Raw genomic sequence first — 18,347 nt, 5'->3', positions numbered from 1 at the left:
CCATTCCCTCACTGAGATTTGGAGGAACTTCCGAACCCCTGCACATCCCACACAGGCCATGGAAGACAGTAGCATTGCCACAAGCTCACTTCCACCCACACTATAGCGCCGTGTCTCCATGGAGTACATTTTACATGCTGGTGTAAAACGAAACAGTATCTGAGACAGGTGTCAATCAATTTAGAAGTTTATTTTACCAAGGTTAAGGACATGTCCAGAAGAAGAAGAAATGAAAAACATGGATTCATAGAAACTGTCTGTGGTCTGTGCCTTTCTCCAAAGGTTAGTTTGAGGGAAAGGGGAAAAGTGAGCTGGAGGGGAAAGAGGGAGGGTATGGTCATCCACTTGTTGCAAGAGAAAAGGAGCAGGTAGGAGAACTGTCAATTATGTATTGATCTCATGCTCAGCAAATCGGCACTTTACAGAATATGATGTGAACATAGAGTCACTACCTATGGAGGTATTTACCTATGACCTGTAGCTGTCTAATTAGGAACAAAACAGAAGGTAGCTTCTTGCAGGACTCAGCGTTTAGTTCAATTTTTCCTCTTGGCAGAATGAATTGGCGTCCTGAGTTTTTATTTTCCTTTCACACGGGGTATGGCCAAGGCTGGTGTTCAATCAGTTTTACCAGCATGTCTACACCTGTTTTTAAAATATTGCAAGATTTTCATGCTAGTTGGTTGAGAGCCACTGCTTTAAGTCCTTAGGCTATCCCCCATCACTCCAGCCCCTTCCCAAGACCCTCCTCACCTCATTAAAAATGGTAATCCTTCCCAGGGTAACTCTAGGACTTTGCTTGACTTTCTATCTAGGTTCCAATTGGCCTACGTTAATCTGGTTATTGAATATTTTGAATATTACCTCTGAACACATGCTTGTGGGGCTTCTCCTCTCCCTTATTTGTATGGGGATGTATGCAACACAGATATTTCCAAAGCCCACCACCATCTGCTTGGAGTGAAAAAAAGTGATATATCATAAGGAGGCCGGGACCTGACATAGTCAACATCACTCCTCTTTCTCTCCTTCTGCAAATTATCCCAGACTACAAGGGGTGGACTGTAGGATTTTTACTTCTGTGCATTATCGACTCCTCTTATAATAGGGCACCATGGATTATGGACCACGTATCACAACTACAAGGCCCTTTTTTTCATACTACATGTGAAATTCTATGATCTGAGTCCTCTGGGGTTGATTCTTGATAAGAAATTGTGAATATCACCTCTCTGCTAAACCAGCTTCTCTAGCATTTCTTTGGGAATAATCTAATCCCTTCCAATTCAAATCGTACCACCACTGGTCCAAATCACTGGCCTTAAGCCAATTAGTGAGAATATCATGAACAAGGAAATGAAAAAAAATCACATTAATAATTTCCAAAATGTTATTTTCATTTCATCTGTGTTCCAATTTTGATTCTAGCAACAGCTATCTTCAGTGTGCTTCAGATGTTTTCAGAAAGAGCTTCAATGTGTCTTCTGTCACCTGGTATACTATTATGTATGTGTGTCAGTATAAAATAAATCTAGTAGCATTTGTTTTCTGAGTTTCTGCTGTTTGTTTGCCCAACTCTTAAGGAACACAGTAAGGCTCTGCAATCAGAAAGCAGAGTTGTTGTCCCCAAGGAATGTCATCTCTAGCTAGAGATGGAAAATCAGCACCAGAAAACAGTTCAGGATTGAGTGCATGCCAAATTCTCTGAATTTGGAAAAGAGGGTGCAGCGCACCAGCATGGCACATGTATACATATGTAACTAACCTGCACATTGTGCACATGTACCCTAAAACTTAAAGTATAATAATAATAAATTAAAAAAAAAAAGAGAGTGATCAACGTGGGCTCCTGAGAATTCTGGAGGATGTTAGATTTGATAAAGCCCTTGATGTATACCTAAGAGTTGAATATGCAAGAAAAATCATCAAAAAAACTCAGAGTTGGGAATGGACCATAAGATAACCACCTCTTTCTGATTTGCCCAGAACTTTCTGGGTTTTAGCCCTGGATATTCTACATTCTAGGAACAGCCCTGGTCCCTAGGAATGGTTTTAGTGTGTGCAGAAAGCCATGAGGAATAAAATTGGCGACACGAAAAGGCACCAGATTACAGAGGGCTTTAAAAACCATTCAGGTGGACTCGTGTGTTTGCGCCAGCAGTAGGAAGATGGGGTGTGGTGAAAATGTTAAGGCTTTTGTCAGTATGCTAAAGAGATTAGACTCTGTGCAAACAAATGCCCCCTTATCCCCACCTGTTCATGTGACCTCCTCCCTCTTCTGTTTCTTGACTGAACTGTGATCTATGATTCAAGCTATAATGTGTATACCAACAGCCTGTGGCTCTTGTTAAAGTGGAAACTGACTTTAGTAGGTCTGGGGTGGGGCTTGAGGTTCTGAAAATCTAACAAGCTCCCAGGTGACACTGCTGCTGCTGCTATTGATGAAGATGATGCTTTAAGTAACAAGACCTTGGATCCCATCCCATCCCTCCTGAAGGGATGCTTTAAAAACCCTGTCATCAGTTATCCTCACTCTCTCCTCTTTCTTCAACATCTACCACTCTGGGAACTCCCTTCTTTCAGCCTGTAACTTTGCTCTTCAGAGCAGCAGAGTGGTGGTTAAATTCCCGAATCCTGGCTCTTCCAGTTACTAGCTCTGTATCCTTGGCAAAGTGGCCTAACCACTTCTGTGTTTTGGCTTACTTCTCTGTAAAATGGAGATAATAATATTTCCTACCTCGTTAGTTTCTTGGGAGCTGTCAAATGAGATACATGTAAAGTGTTTAAAGTGTTACCTGGCAGGTAGTAAGAGCTCAGTGAGTGTATTCATTTCCTAGGACTGCTATAACAAATTGCTACCAATTGAGTGGCATTTTCTTCTCTCTGCATGAAATGTATTCTCATGATTCAAGAGTCCAGAGGTCCAAAATCAAGATTTTGGTAGTGTTGATTCCTTCTGGAAGCTCTGAGGGAGAAGTTTTATATACGTTTCTCCTGGTTTCTGGTGGTTGTGGCAATCCTCAGTGTTGCTTGGCTTGTAAACTCATCCCTCCAGTCTCTGCTTTGCCTTCACATGGTCTTCTTATCTATGTGTCTGTGTGTCCTCTCCTATTTTTATATCAGTCATGCAATTTAGGGCCTGTCCCCAATCCAATATGACCTCACCTTCACTAATTAGACCTGCAAAGACTCTTCCAAATAAGATCACATTCTGCACTTTGGATGGATGTGAATTCTGGGAGATATTCAACCCACTGTAGAGAATAGTAATAATTATCATTGTCATCATTATCATATTCACCACGTTTGTAAATGCTGGATTTCTTCTATCTATATTAAAATACATCTCATTTCTTGAAAAGCACTCTGACTGAAATCTACCTGACTGCTCTCTGTATTCCACCACTGACTCAACCTGAAACTAGAGGCTACTAGGGATGCCCTCATTGCTGAGCACAACAGCAACTCCCGGTTCTTACCTGGTTTCATCTCCCTGTTGTGTCCTAGCTGCTGCTATCCCTACCTTGGCTTTCCCAATTTATTCTCCGTTGTTTCTCTGATTTCTTGATGTCTTTCTCTTCGGTCTCCTGTAATGCCTCAATTTCGATCACCCTAGGTGCCCAGTATTTCATATTTGACCATCTTCTTTTCTCATGCTATGGCCCTTCAAGGGTTTCACTACCACTCATATCCCAAGGACCTTCTCATCCTACCCTAGCGATGGCAATACCCAGATCTTGATAGTACTGGGAGGTCAAAACTCATCACATGATAAACCTAAAGTGTGTACATTTCACACTGTGTAAATTTTTAAACTGTTAAAAAAACACATTGAACTCCAGTTAATGCTAAATTAGGAGTGAGGTGTACTGCTGTCAGTAATTCAGTTTGAAATGCATCAAAAATTAGATGAATAGATGGATGGATAGAGAGATAGGTGTGTGATAAAGCCCACACAGCAAAACATTAATAATTATAGAATCTACTCATGCAGATAGGGATGTTCACTCTATAATTCTTTCAGCTTTGCTATATGTTTGGAAATTACCATAATAACATGTGTGGCAGGGGGAATCTTGTCTCTGGGTCAGACCTCCCTGCTGAATCCTGATCTTTATAATATATTAATGCACTTGTTCTTCATTCTCCAAGGACTCTTTCACTTCTTATGATTGAGGTTCATCAATTTATGCAACAATTTTGATTTTGAAAACCTATCATGGGCCAAGCACTATTGTGGGTGTTGAAGCCACAGAGATAGTTTTTTTTTTTAACTCTAACCAGGAAGACTTGGGGTGAGATAGAGACAAGAGTCAAGGATGATTTTCTTGGATTGATGTTGGTGTCATTCACTAGAACAGGACTGATAGGAAAGGGGTCAGCTTTTGGAGCAGAGAGAGGGATGCTGAGTTTGGAAGTACTTGTGGTCATCCATTTAGAAATATACACTAGTTGGAAATACAGGCTTTGAATGGAGGAGCAAGGTCTGAACTAAGCATAGAAAGAAAAACAGTATCCAGTAAGAGAATCTAAGAAGAGAAGATGTGAGAGAGGAAACCAGAACCCTAGGGAACCCCAATATTTAAGAGGCAGGCGGCAGAGGTAGAGCCAGAAAAAAAAGGTTGGAAGAGGAAGTTCAGAGAGGTGTGAAGAGAATTAAGAGAGAATTCATACCCTGGAGACTGTACTATTTACCTTTAAAAATTTTTTCACTTCAAGTGGTCATTCTGAACCATTGTTTTCTTTTGTGTTCTATTATCACCAACAACTCTAAGTGGCTCTTTGATGTCACTTTCATAAGGCTGTTTGAAGTTCAGACCAGGTCATCATGACTAGAAATTATGGCTTCCAGAAATAAACTGAATCCCGGTCATCTAGAATTCATAAACCAGCAGGGTGCCTAACACCCAGGGTGCAGTATGTTCTTAAGAGTACATGAGCTCTAGGAAAGAAATTTCCAAGTTTTTTTCCTCCTTGATGATATCTAAGGTAAATAACATGTATATACACTGAGCCCTTAGGATGACCACCTTAAACCCCTGACAACCAAGTGCCAACACCCAGGTTCTATGCCTGTGTTTCCACTTGCATTGATGTTCATGTTGGTAGATTCAACTGTCATGGACAAAGGAGCAAACCAAAAAGGGAAGGGTATCCAGTACTAAAAGTGACATTTCCACATCCTGGATAAGCAAAGGCCTTGCAATATTTCAAATATAGAAAAGAGATGGTTCTTTGATTCACCTCATGGTACATAGAAATCTAAATGTGCTCAACTCAAAAGAATCTAAATTACATCAGTTTGTTCAAAATTCATATTAAGAATAGCAACTTATGTATATGAAAGCATCACCTGTTACATTATATTAAACTTGTAGGCTTGGGATGTAACAAATTTGTTGTTTGTGGTGTATTTAATTTGTAAAGATTTTTTGTTGTTGTTCCATCATTTTATAGAAGTAATATAAGCAGCAGGAGTTGAGACATTTGGAAGTTGATCCTGGTGGGCCCGGGAGAAGTTTCTCCATTAAAATGGACCATGCCTTTCCAATAAAAGGGTCTGACAGTCCCTCCTCTGATATGTCCAAGGCCTGTTGATGAGACTGTTTTGTTTTAAATTTGAAACTCTGTATGTTTGTATTTTCGTGTCTAGCAGACATTGTTTTAAAATTGCTAGTTTGTTGCATTCCTTTCCTTTTCAGATAAAGTTGTCTGATTTTGGTTTCTGTGCTCAAGTTTCCAAAGAGGTGCCGAAGAGGAAATCATTGGTTGGCACTCCCTACTGGATGGCCCCTGAGGTGATTTCTAGGCTACCTTATGGGACAGAGGTAAGGGGGTCACAGTCATAGGCGTGGCAGGACTGGGGACAGGCTCAGGGACCCATTGGTTCTGAGATAGTTGGTGACCACAGGAGATGGGGGCAATGACTTTTAGCTCCACATTTGATCCCCACTCACTAGATGAGGCACAGAGTAGATAGGCTGTGGCAGGTGGGAGCCTGGCCACCCCTGGGGCAGATCACTGCAGTATTTATCCAAGGGCTGTTTATTGCAGTCCTACAGTGGACACTGTGGGAAAGTCACTCCAACTCTGATCCCACTCTCAGTAGCAGGCACACACACAAAGCAAGGCAATGCAACTTGCAAAGTGGCTGGAGACATGCAGATGAGCAGGCATGAGAATTCAGAGAAAGGAAAGAGGATCAAAGAAAGTGCCACAAAATAGAGGTGATATTTAAATGACCCACTGTTTTCAACACAGTTTACATCTCACAGTGAAGGACCTACACTGTTTTCTCATAGGAAAAAAATAATATGTGAATCATAGTCAAAAACATGGCACAATTTCTGTTTCCACTGGAATGAAAACAATCACTCTTAATCTTTTAAGAGGTAGGGCCTGGAAATGTGAAAATGCAGGGCCAGAGGAGTAGAGGAAGGGCCTTCTTGGGAGGTAATAGCATGGGTGGAAGCTTAGAGGCACATAAGGCTACATACAGATGGAAGCCAAGGGGTATGTTTCGGCTAGGCATAGTGTTTCCACACTTTATGGTGTGGATGGTGAATCTGGGAGAAGAGAAGCATGAGAAGACATGGCCGTGAGCTAAGGACATCAGCATAAGTTAAGGCAGAATCTTTCTCTTTCTCTTGTTTGCTTGACCTTGGATGAGTCCTCAACTTGTTTTTCTCACTGTGGTCCTGAGAGAGAAATTCTCGGTGAAGGTCACTGCAAGGGGTAATAATAGCAATACGTTCATCAGATAAGAGGTATAATGAGGCCCTAACAGGAAACTTTCCTAACAGGAAAGTGAGTGGGACTGGGAGTTTATAGCACAGTGATGGCTCCTCATTGTCTCGACTTCCCATTCTTTACTACTTGCTTGTCATCTCTTCCTTTTCTTTTCTCCAATCCCTGAAAATGCTTTTGTAAAGTGAGGTTTTGTGCATGCTGTTTTGAAATGATAATAAAAGGTAGTGGAAGGAAATCCCAAAGTAGGGGAGAAAAGAGCTATTTTTAAAAGCAAATTAATAAAAGAATCAGAATATATTCTGCATCCTGCAAGGTAGCCCTTTGCAGTTTGTTACAAATATGTCAAAACTTTCTTATTTGCTTATGGTTTAAATACAATTTTCTTCTCCATTTTCATAGCATTAAACCGGATGATTTTCTCATCTGCCCTGATAGACAGTTAACTACTAAAGTTTACAGAGTAAAAATGAAAGCACTAAACTTTAGAATGTTAAAATATTCATTTATGTCTGATGGGTGGAACCTTCACTGAAGTTGTCCATAAAAGGCAAAGACTGTTAGCAAAAACTCGGTAACCCAGCAGTTTAGCCTATAAATCTATATTGTAAATGTTGAGAGGTTACAAGTGCCATAGTCACTTGTGAATGAGTATGAGGTTCTGTGGACACACTTGACATTTCAGAATGTTCTCCTTGCCTGAGATAACCAGTAGGGTGTGCCTAACAGGTGGACATCTGGTCCCTCGGGATCATGGTGATAGAAATGATTGATGGCGAGCCCCCCTACTTCAATGAGCCTCCCCTCCAGGCGATGCGGAGGATCCGGGACAGTTTACCTCCAAGAGTGAAGGACCTACACAAGGTGAGAAACAGCAGCTGTTGCTAAAGTTCAGAATAGTTTTTGGATTTTCCTGTATCTCTCTGGTTTTTAAGACTGGCTTACCACATCCAGCAGGAAGATCCTGGTTTATGAGCATGGACTTTGGAAATAGTCACTTAGGTTTGAATCTCTGTTCTTCTATTCGTTTACTGGGCAAGTGACTCAGCCTTTCCTATGCCAAAGTTCTTCATCTGTAAAATGGGTTATGATTGGCCTGTATCCCAAAGGGTTGGTTAGAAGAGTAAATCAGGTGCTCTATGCCATACTCATTCATTCAGCATCTATTACATGCTGGGGACATCTAATAGCTTGGGATGTCACCGTGCATGACCCCAGCTTTTCTGACTCTGGGGTCTAGACTCTGCATTCTAGTTGGGGAAACAGATAGTAAACCATAAACAAACAAATAAATAAAATAATTTCAGAGTGTGGTACATACTATGAAAGAAAAACATACTGTGATGTGACAGAGTGTGCAGGAGAAGGGATTGAAAGCTGGTTGTATGAGTCTGTTTTTACACTACTATAAAGAAATACCCAAGACTGAGTAATTTACAAATAAAGAAGGTTTAATTAACTCACAGTTCCACATGCCTGGAGAGGCCTCAGGATACTTACAATCATGGCAGAAGGCGAAGGGGAAGCAAGGCATGTCTTACATGGTGGCAGGAGAGAGAGAGCGCACAGGGGAAATGCCAGACACTTATAAAACTATCAGCTCTCATGATAATTCCCTCACTATCTTGAGAATAACATGGGGTAAACTGCCCCCATGACCCAATTACCTTCCACCAAGTCCCTCCCTTGACATGTGAGGATTACAATATGAGGTGAGATTTGAGTGGGCACAGAGAGCCAAACCCTATCACTGATTTAAGCTGAAGAGTGAAGGAAGCCCTTTCTAGGGAGGGATCAAACGAGCTGGGACCTGAATAGGAAGAAGGTACCAGCCATGCAAAGATCTTGGAGAAAAAGGTCCCAGGCACGGGGAGCATCAAGTGGAAAGGCCTTAAGCCAAGAAAGAAGGCTTACATTGCTGGAGTAAAGTCAGAAAGGGGAAAAAGGTAGGTCTTGTCAGAGAGATGGGCAGGAGCTAGATTGTACAGGGCAATGAAGGTCATGGTTAATATAATGCATGTAAGAGACCGAGTGGGGTCTTTTCTGTTTTCCAAGGATTGCCAATTAGGACGAGCTCAGAAAATAATGATGCTTCATCCAAGAATCACCACTGTAGGAGCTGCCAGATTTCCAAAGGACTTGCTCAGAGGATCATTTCTGCAGGACTACTACTATAAACACTGGCCCCATACACACCTCTCTTCCTATCTTATGACAATAAAAGAGAGTGTGTGGCTGCCTTTTGGAGGAGAATTATTTGTAATGGTAATATCTCCTCCTTCCTCACCCCTAAATCTTAGGGAACAGCCCCAGTAGCATCACTCATATAGGTTGTGTGGACCTACAAAAACATAAACAAAAAAAGAGAGATTGAAATTTTTACTGGATTGGACTAAGTCTAAATAATGAAAAGTGGCTGGGTGTGGTGGCTCACGCCTGTAATCCCAGCACTCTGGAAGGCCGAGGTGGGCGGATCACGAGGTCAGGAGATGGAGACCATCCTGGCTAACACGGTGAAACCCCATCTCCACTAAAAATACAAAAAATTAGCCAAGCATGGTGGCGGGTGCCTGTAGTCCCAGCTACTCAGGAGGCTGAGGCAGGAGAATGGCGTGAACCTGGGAGGCAGAGCTTGCAGTGAGCCCAGATCGCACCACTGCACTCCAGCCTAGGTGACACAGCGAGACTACGTCTCCAAAAAAAAAAAAAAAAGTGACTAAAAATGTATCATATGAAAGTAGTCTCACACCCAGTGAGTGCCAATGTTCTTCAAAACCATGTACAAGAACAACTTTAATCCTAATGGTTTCAAAAAAACTGGAAACCAGTCCGAGGTTGTTTCCCAAATGGATAATGTGTGGTATAATTGGACAGTGAATACTACACAGTAATTTAAAAGATATAACTTTTGCCACACGTCGGAGATGAATCTCACAGATACAACACTGAGTGAAAGAAGCCAGATAGAGAAGAAATCAAATATATGACTCCATTTTGGTAAAGTACAAAAGTAAGCAAAACTAAGTTATGCTATAAATTAAAATAGTGGTGACCTTTTGCAGGGAGATAGGGGTTGGCAGGAAGGAAACCTAAAAGTAGCTTCCTAGAGTGGTAGAAAAGTTCTATATCTTGATAGGAGTGGAAAGTAAATAGGGGTAAATGTATGTAAAAATCCATTGAGCCACACTCTTAGTATTTGTGCAGCGGAACCTGGGCATGCTGGCACATGCTTGTACTCCCAGCTACTCAGGAGGCTGAGGTGGGAGGATCATTTGAGCACAGGAGTTTGAGCCTGGGCAACATAGTGAGACCTCATCTCTAAATATATACATAAAGTAAGATATACCTTTAAAAGGAAAATTACAAGACCTTCAAAGAAAAAAATGAGATGTGTTCGATATCCTTACAGAAGCTTGTTTCTCTTAAAGAAAGGGGTTCCACAGAGCCTGTGTGGTTGCAGTTGTTAGAAAAATAAAACGGCTCCCTGTTTATACTATGCTTCATCAAGCACGTGTGACCAGCACCTGCACATACTAAATATTTTGTAATAGCTGCTCTTATCACTGTGATTGCCACTGTTATTTTATGTAGTAAATAAGTTTTCATTCTTAGTTGAGCTGTCATTTACACCTATTATTTCACACTTGAAAAAGGTAAGGAAAACACGAAATGTTAACAAAGACAAGACATGCTTTTGCTTTCACAACATCTTTCTCCTTAAGGTAACTTTCTGGAATTTGAAGTTGTTGATAGGATGAATGGGGAAAACATTTTGGGGACTGGGTTAGGTGTCTGTGTTAGTCCTCAGATTGGTATCTGTGTGTTTTCACAGGTTTCTTCAGTGCTCCGGGGATTCCTAGACTTGATGTTGGTGAGGGAGCCCTCTCAGAGAGCAACAGCCCAGGAACTCCTCGGACATCCATTCTTAAAACTAGCAGGTCCACCGTCTTGCATCGTCCCCCTCATGAGACAATACAGGCATCACTGAGCAGAGGATTCGTGTAGGTGGCAAAGCTAGATGAGGACATGAGAATAATTCAGGAGAACAAAAGGAAACACAGAACATGCAAAAGGCCTGTGCATTCTAGACCAGCCAATTGGTGGGACAGCGTGATGACCGGCAGGGTTCAACAGACCAGGGCATCTTCTTGTGTCTTAAACAGGCATCTCTCCACTGACAGCCGGTGTGGTCACTTGGAGCACGGCTTTAATAAGTCATTATTATATTTTTCAGCCCTTCATCCAGCAAATCAGAAGGACTCAGTACAAACTCCGTTATGATATATCCTAGCCACATGCAGGGTAACATGTAGGATTTTCTATATTGAAAGAATACTTTTCTGGCAAAAAAAAAAAAAAAAGAAAGAAAGGAAAACAAAAAGCACTTTTTTCTTAATGGTAGCAGTATAATGTATTTTGCAACGAATTTGTAATTTTTCTGTACGATAGTTTTGATAATTTATAGTACTTTGATGTCATGTAGCCATTGTATCAGTTGAAGTAATACTTGTTTACTAGAGGAGTTTGAACAAAGCCTTTCCTACTTTTTTATCCCTTTAAGAGAACCAATGATTCTTTAGGAACTTTGAATACTGAATGACTCTCAATCACCGTCAGCTTTAGTAAAATCTCTTTCTTATCCTAACAAGTGTCTTATTTGGTGGAAGAAGAATTAAGAGTGATGGTGATGGTGTGCACGTTTCATTAATCCAACCAAAAATAATGAAATAAAATTTGAGCCACAGTATACCACTCCTTGGGATAAAGTTAAATATTTTTAAAGATCACATTTTCCATGAACGCCTCTAGTAGCAAACCATTCTTTTGCACACCACAATGTTTCCCTCAGTGCCCTTTCTCAAATGGGTACAATGTTCCCTTGTGGCCAAATTTCCCTCCCAGGGAGCAATTTCAGTGCTAGGATCATTGGATTCAGTTCCCAAAATAGAATGTTTCAGTGAGACCATGAGAATTCCAGGCTCACAAAGGGAGAGGAGAGAACAGGGCAAGACGTTTGGTTTCATTTGTCACCATTTTTAAAACTCTGTATGCTAGCACACCAAACTCTTGTCTATATTTACCTTTGTACCACAGTATTAATCGCTATTGTTCATGTATCGTGCTGGAAGTCTGAACTGACTCTAGAGGATGAATTAGCAAGAGGGTATTTTACCAGGTATGATCTGACTTCAGTTGTGCCCATGTTATAATGTGTTTCCGACATAGGAGAGTCGTGCTGCTGTCTAGATCTTCTTGAATGTTGATAAAAATGAATGACTACTACAATACATTTTGTGTTGCTTGTTGGATGAATTTGCATGTTAACTGTAGGCCAATATAGATTTGCCTTTAAAACTCTGGAAGAGCTACATAGTCATCATTAGTTTCTATTAATTATGCATCAGACAAAAGCCATTTGTTACCAAACTGGGAAAACAGAGGCTTTTCTTAACTATTTCACATACTGTAACAAATATGAATTTAAATTTGTGATAGCGCTCTGGTTGCTCTAAGCATAATTAAGAATTTTTGTAATTAATAGGTTGCTAATTATTTATCACTGCTAAAAAGGAAAAAAGGCATAAAATGACCTTCTACTGATTAGATTTTCAGTTTTCTTTCAAACTGGAAATGCCTCCATAAATATGATCTATGATTTTGCTTCATAAAACAGCAAATCAATGTTTTATGTAAAATATTAAAGCATTAATATAAATATGTGAGAATAAAAACAATCTAAATCCAGAAAATGGCAGTCCTAAATGTTCATGAGACAGATTGTATTAATTTAACCAGGACTATGTAGAAGTAGAAAGAAAAGAAAAAGAAAATCTTTTTTAAACCAGAATAAACATTAAAAACTATTGCAGAAAATAGTGGATTTTGGATTCCAAACATTTTCGACAGTGTAATGGAAATTTTTCTGTAATTTTCTTACCATCGGGTATTTTTTAAAGTATTCATTGAGTTTACCAAAAGTTACTGTAGCTTAAAAGGTTTTGTGAGCACTAACTATTGGCAGAAACTGCATTTGCAAATAAAAATAAATGTTTGCCTTTTCCCCATTGTGTTATTGGAAACAGTGATTTCTCAAATTTATTTTATTGAGTAACCAAGAATGATTTCTTTGTGATCTTGGGGAGTGCAAATGAGTTGGTACAAAGTTGTATGTAACATTGTGATGACATGACGTAAAGACAAATATATCCATCCCTAGGGATTGTAAAGAGTGTAAGATGGTGATGTCGATACCACTACTGAAAAAAAAATTACTAAATTCTGGAAGGCCACGTTCAAGGAAAGCCAGGTTCAGGGCTGAAGACTCTCATTCTACTTCCCTGTTCCAAAGATGCAAAACTGATCTGAGGGCTTTTTTAAAAATTAATTAATTAATTAATTATTATACCTTAAGTTCTGGGTTACATGTGCAGAACATGCAGTTTTGTTACATAGGTGTACACCTCTCGTGGTAGTTTGCTGCACCCATCAACCCATCACCTACATTAGATATTTCTCCTAATGTTATCTCTCCCCTAACCACCCACACCCTCACAGGCCCCAGTGTGTGACGTTCCCTTCCCTATGTCCATGTGTTCTCATTGTTCAACTCCCACTTATTAGTGAAAACATACGGTGTTTGGTTTTCTGTTCTTATGATAGTTTGCTGAGAATGATGGTTTCCAGCTTCATCCGTGTCCCTGCAAAGACATGAACTCATCTTTTTTTATGGCTGCATAGTATTCCATGGTGTATATGTGCCACATTTTCTTTATCCAGTCTATTATTGATGGACATTTGGGTTGGTTCTAAGTCTTTGCTATTGTGAATAGTGCCACAATAAACATACGTGTGCATGTGTATTTATAATAGAACCTGGATTCAAGAGGTCGTGTTGAGAGCTCTCTGGGAGCCTAGAAGATAATTTGGGCTCTCTCCTCCACTTTGGGAGACAAGGGGGACATTAACATTGATCTCGTGAAGCTGGAGGATGGGGGAACTTTTATATACACAGCCTATTTTCCATCCAGAAATGTTGGAAGGTAAAAACCCTCAGGAAGTAGCCTGAGCTAGCAGGATGAAAAAAAGGCATTGTATATCACATGTCAGGGCAGACAAAGGTGGAGGCAACCTCCCCTGGACAGGTCTCCTCTGCCTTTACTGGGCATGGAAGAAGACATGGAGTTCCCTTGAGTATGTTTGATGGGACATGGAGAGGACAGCAGGGAATGTGTCAAACCACTTAACTAAGTAACAGGATGTCCAACTTGCAGAGTGCTTTGGAGGGGTGCACCATGGGGGCAACTGAAGGGAAATATGGCTGCTTTTCTGCATGGAGACAGGGTCAAGGTGGAGCTGACCCTTACTCTAAAAACCACATATGTCATCTACACAAAGACCACTCCGAACAGCAGAAGCTGTAGTTTTCAGTGGAACCAAAATGAGACTCAGGCCTCTCCCTTTCCTCCAATAGCATCTCCAAGGCAGCTGACTACAGCCAGCTAGGTTACTGGAACCTCCGCTCCCCACTAGTCCACATAGAATAGGGCCATGTGTTAGTGTGAGACCCCATGATTTGAAGAAGGTATTTAAGAGAAAGAAAGGGGGAATACAAGAGCACACCATGTATCCTGCACTGCCTCCCAGTTGCTACCTCTTCCTCTAGTAGAAGTTTCACTTGAGCAAAGGAGAGATGTATTATCTTTGAATTAGAATGAGATTGATTTTTAAACTAGACTAGACAGATGGAATCAGACTGAATGGCAGTCACGTCCCCTTTATCCCTGGGGAAGAACACATTTAGTAGCAATCAGTGGAAAAGTAAATCATACCATGAAGTTAACAGCCCAATGAGTTCAGACTGCTCGATCAAACTGATCAAATGAACAGTACACTGTCATCAAAAAAAATGGTAATGAAATTCCAGGCAGAGAAAAGATCAAATTGATCTGAAGCAGATATAAAATGTGCAAGCAGGAGAAATTTTGTGAAAGTGACATGACACAGTACCAATCCACACTGTGCAGGAAAATCAGTCCATTTGATCCTTGAAATGTGTACATATTGAGCTGTGTTTCAAGTCAAATGAATACATTATCTTGGTGTAGGTCCTGCCAAAAGAAGAGCTTGAATAAAGACTTAGACACAAATACTTCATTTGGAAGATGATCCCAGGAAGGTCAACATGGCAGAGTGAAGAAATAAGACAAAGAGAACAAAGTCAAGAAACTGTGTTTTAATGAATGGGATACCACAATAGGCAACTGGGGCTCAATCCCATTGGTGACCTTCTGAGAGACACTTGAGAATTGTCTTTCTTGAGGGGGGCACTGGTATATTTAATTATCTCCTATCCATCATTAGATGAGAATTGTTCCTGCAGCATCAACTCTCCTCGCCCTGCACATGGGCAAAGTTTGTTCCCTTTGCTAAAATTGACACAGCAAATGACCTCCAGGAAGGGATGAGGGAACACGAGTGGGACCCTGAGAGCATCTCCTACATAAATAGACCTAACTAAAGACAAAAAGAGTACATGAGAAAGTCTATGGGTTGCTGATTTCTGGATCAAAATATATTGTTCTAAAAGCAAAGAAATTTCTTATCCTGATTTTCTCACATGACAAATGTTTTGATCATTAAGCCTGATCATTGTCAGCATTTCTAAAAACTTAAAGCTAGAAAAGACAAGATCTTATGATTCACTTAGGCTGAGTTAACCAAGGCCCCAAAGAGTTAGGTAATGACAGCACATTAATCATAATACAGGTTGAGTATCCCTTACCTGAAATACTTGGAACCAAAAGAAGTGTTTCGAATTTGGGATTTTTTCAGATTTTTGGAATATTTGCATTATACGTACCAATTGAGCATCCTAAATCTGAAAATCTGATATCCAAAATGCTCCAACGAGCATTTTCTTTGAGCATCATGTTAACATTCAAAAAGTTTTGAATTTGGAAGCATTTTGTATTTCAGATTTTCAGATTTAGGATCCTCAAACTGTACCTAAATAGACAGGTATACACACATGCACGTGCACGCACTTTCACACACACACACAGACACACGCCCCACATATTTCAGTTCCATGAGGGCAGGAGTTCTTATGTATTTTCTTCACTGCTGTGTCCCAGTACCCAGAGCAGCGTCTAGAAAGCACAAGATCAGTGCTAAGAAATACTTATTATCTCATCTGTCATGAGTGCCTTTGTAAACCATTTCCCAGCAGACAACCTGACAGGCTCTGTCACTTTAAATGACAGCTGAAGTACCATTGACCCTGGACCCTCTTGGCTGTCTGAGCTTATAATCTCCTTCTCAGAAAAGTTTTTAAAATGCATAAAGTAAAATATGTAGGCTTACAAAAAAAAAAAAGATTAAAGTATCATTATCACAATTTTAAAATGCGGCTATAATGCATTAAATAACAAGATCTTTTGATGGGTCAAATAACTACCATAATTTCAAAGTAATGAGTATAAATGATTCTTTTGAGATATAGCTGGCAAGTGTAATGTGGCTATTTCTATTGATGACAAATTCACAGGTCTTCTTATACTGCAGTGGTTTAATGCCCATGTTCACCACTGAAAGAAATTCTACTTTTCATTTGAGGTTAGTAAAAACTGGAGGTATAATTTTTTCCCATCCAAGTTCATAAATTCTGACAGATCCCCTCAACCCAAAACTGATAACCCCTGAGTGATTTACTGAACTGGGGTGGAGGGGAATCCCTGCATAAAAATTCTCTGAATCCAAAATAAATTGACACAGAAAACTGTAGAAGTCAGATTTAAAACTCTTTTTTTTTTTTTTTTTTTTTTGAGACGGAGTCTCGCTCTGTCGCCCAGGCTGGAGTGCAGTGGCACCATCTCGGCCCACTGCAAGCTCCGCCTCCCAGGTTCACACCATTCTCCAGCCTCAGCCTTCCGAGTAGCTGGGACTACAGGTGCCTGCCACCATGCCTGGCTAATTTTTTTGTATTTTTGGTAGAGACGGGGTTTCACCGTGTTAGCCAGGATGGTCTCGATCTCCTGACCACGTGATCCGCCCGCCTCGGCCTCCCAAAGGGCTGGGATTATAGGCGTGAGCCACCGCGCCTGGCTAAAACTCTTATATTAGTCCCTTTGAATCTTTCGTGACCTCTTGTTTGGCAGGTAAAATTTGAACGTACGTGTTAAGAATTGTGCTAGCAAAATGCCACTAATGATAATTTTTAGAGAGTCTCTCCAATGTGACAGGCATTGTGCTAGGGACTTCCAGGTGCTTCATGAGTCCTCAAAAAAAAAATGAAGTAAGCTTCATTTTCAGATGAAAAAACATGAACCCAGAGAAGCCTAATAATTTGGATAATGTTGCACATACATTGATAGTAGAGGCTTTTTAACCAGAAGTCTTCTTATTTCTCCATCAACATTATCTGGGGAGCAGAGTAAAACTACAGATTCTAGGGCCTCACCACAGAGATTCTCAAAATAATGTCTGGGATGATGCCCTAGAACTAACATCTTTCAAAGGTCTCCTAGGATGATTCTAATACAGCGTGCCTTTGAATGCACTTTGAGACACAACGATTTAAAGCTTTCTCTGGCCCAGGTTGCTTGGTGTTTGTTCCGGGGAAGGGTTTGAGCACAATGCCAGTTTGAACCACCTGCCTGGTAAAACCCACCCCTACACATGCAGCAGTCTGCTTCACCCAGATGCTGCAGGTCACTCCTACCATCTTTCCTCCCCTTTCTCCATTCACATTTCTCAGATGTTTCTTCCCATACCCATGTGGTTTGCCAAGGCTTTGCTAATGGAAAGATTGGACAATTGACAAAAAGAGAGAGATGATGGTTTGGAGGGCATTCTCAGGCTCCAGATAAGCGAGTGCTTTCTGCCCCTCTGAGGCTGTTTCACTGGGAACTGTTTCCTGGGACTGAGGGAATCCTGCAAAGAACCATGCTCTGAATTTAAATCAAAGTCACCCTCCCTCAAGAGAAATCCACATATGGTCCATCTGGCCTGGCTTTTCCAGGCAGGCATACCCAGCAACCAGGCCCAACATCCTCTTGTGCCCACAGGCATTTGTGTTTAAAATCCCAGTAAAAAAGAAAAATGACAGTTCAAGGGGTAATTGAGCATCTGTGTTTTATATGTTTTCTTCCCTGTCTCTGAAGCTTGAGAAGCAATGCAGATAAATGGGCCATTGCCTCAGGCTATTCCTGGCCCAGGAGCAGCTGCAAAATGTTAGGACAATGGCAATGACAATGAGTATGGAGAGGGCCCAGAGCTGAGGCCTGGGGTGGAGTCCGTCTTCCTGGACACCCTGAGCTGGGAGAATGCCAGGCTGCCAGGCACAGACGTGTCCAGAGACCACTTCCTGCTCTATGTCATGAGGCTCCCCTTTATCGTGTTTAATTGATGATAAAGATGAAGACATGGCTGAGAGAAATAAGGTGCAGTTCAAAGGCAACTAGACTGAGTTTGACATATAATTTTTAAATAGCTAGGTAAAAATTACATGGTAAACAATATTGATAATCATAACAGTAATCGTAATAATGGCTTTTTATACATCCTGCACATTACTTGTGGAAAAATCACTGTTATTTGGA

The 18,347-nt window shown here is 40.8% G+C and overlaps 1 protein-coding gene across 7 annotated transcripts in view; it reads left to right on the top strand.

Annotated features, from left to right (window-relative positions):
* The window catches only part of PAK5 (p21 (RAC1) activated kinase 5), a 301,707-nt gene extending 288,880 nt beyond the window's left edge, over nt 1-12,827 (top strand). For all 7 annotated transcript variants that reach the window (NM_177990.4, NM_020341.5, XM_017027960.2 and 4 more), the window contains 3 exons: nt 5,703-5,828; nt 7,477-7,611; nt 10,580-12,827. In NM_177990.4, coding sequence (NP_817127.1) covers nt 5,703-5,828; nt 7,477-7,611; nt 10,580-10,735 — 417 coding nt within the window. In that variant the 3' untranslated portion in view covers nt 10,736-12,827. The remainder of the gene's footprint in view (nt 1-5,702; nt 5,829-7,476; nt 7,612-10,579) is intronic.
* The last annotated feature ends 5,520 nt before the right edge of the window (nt 12,828-18,347 follow it).

This window comes from Homo sapiens, chromosome 20 (genome assembly GCF_000001405.40).
Source record: "Homo sapiens chromosome 20, GRCh38.p14 Primary Assembly".
NCBI classification, from domain to species: Eukaryota; Metazoa; Chordata; class Mammalia; order Primates; family Hominidae; genus Homo; species Homo sapiens.
This window is presented reverse-complemented; position numbering and strand designations above follow the sequence as displayed.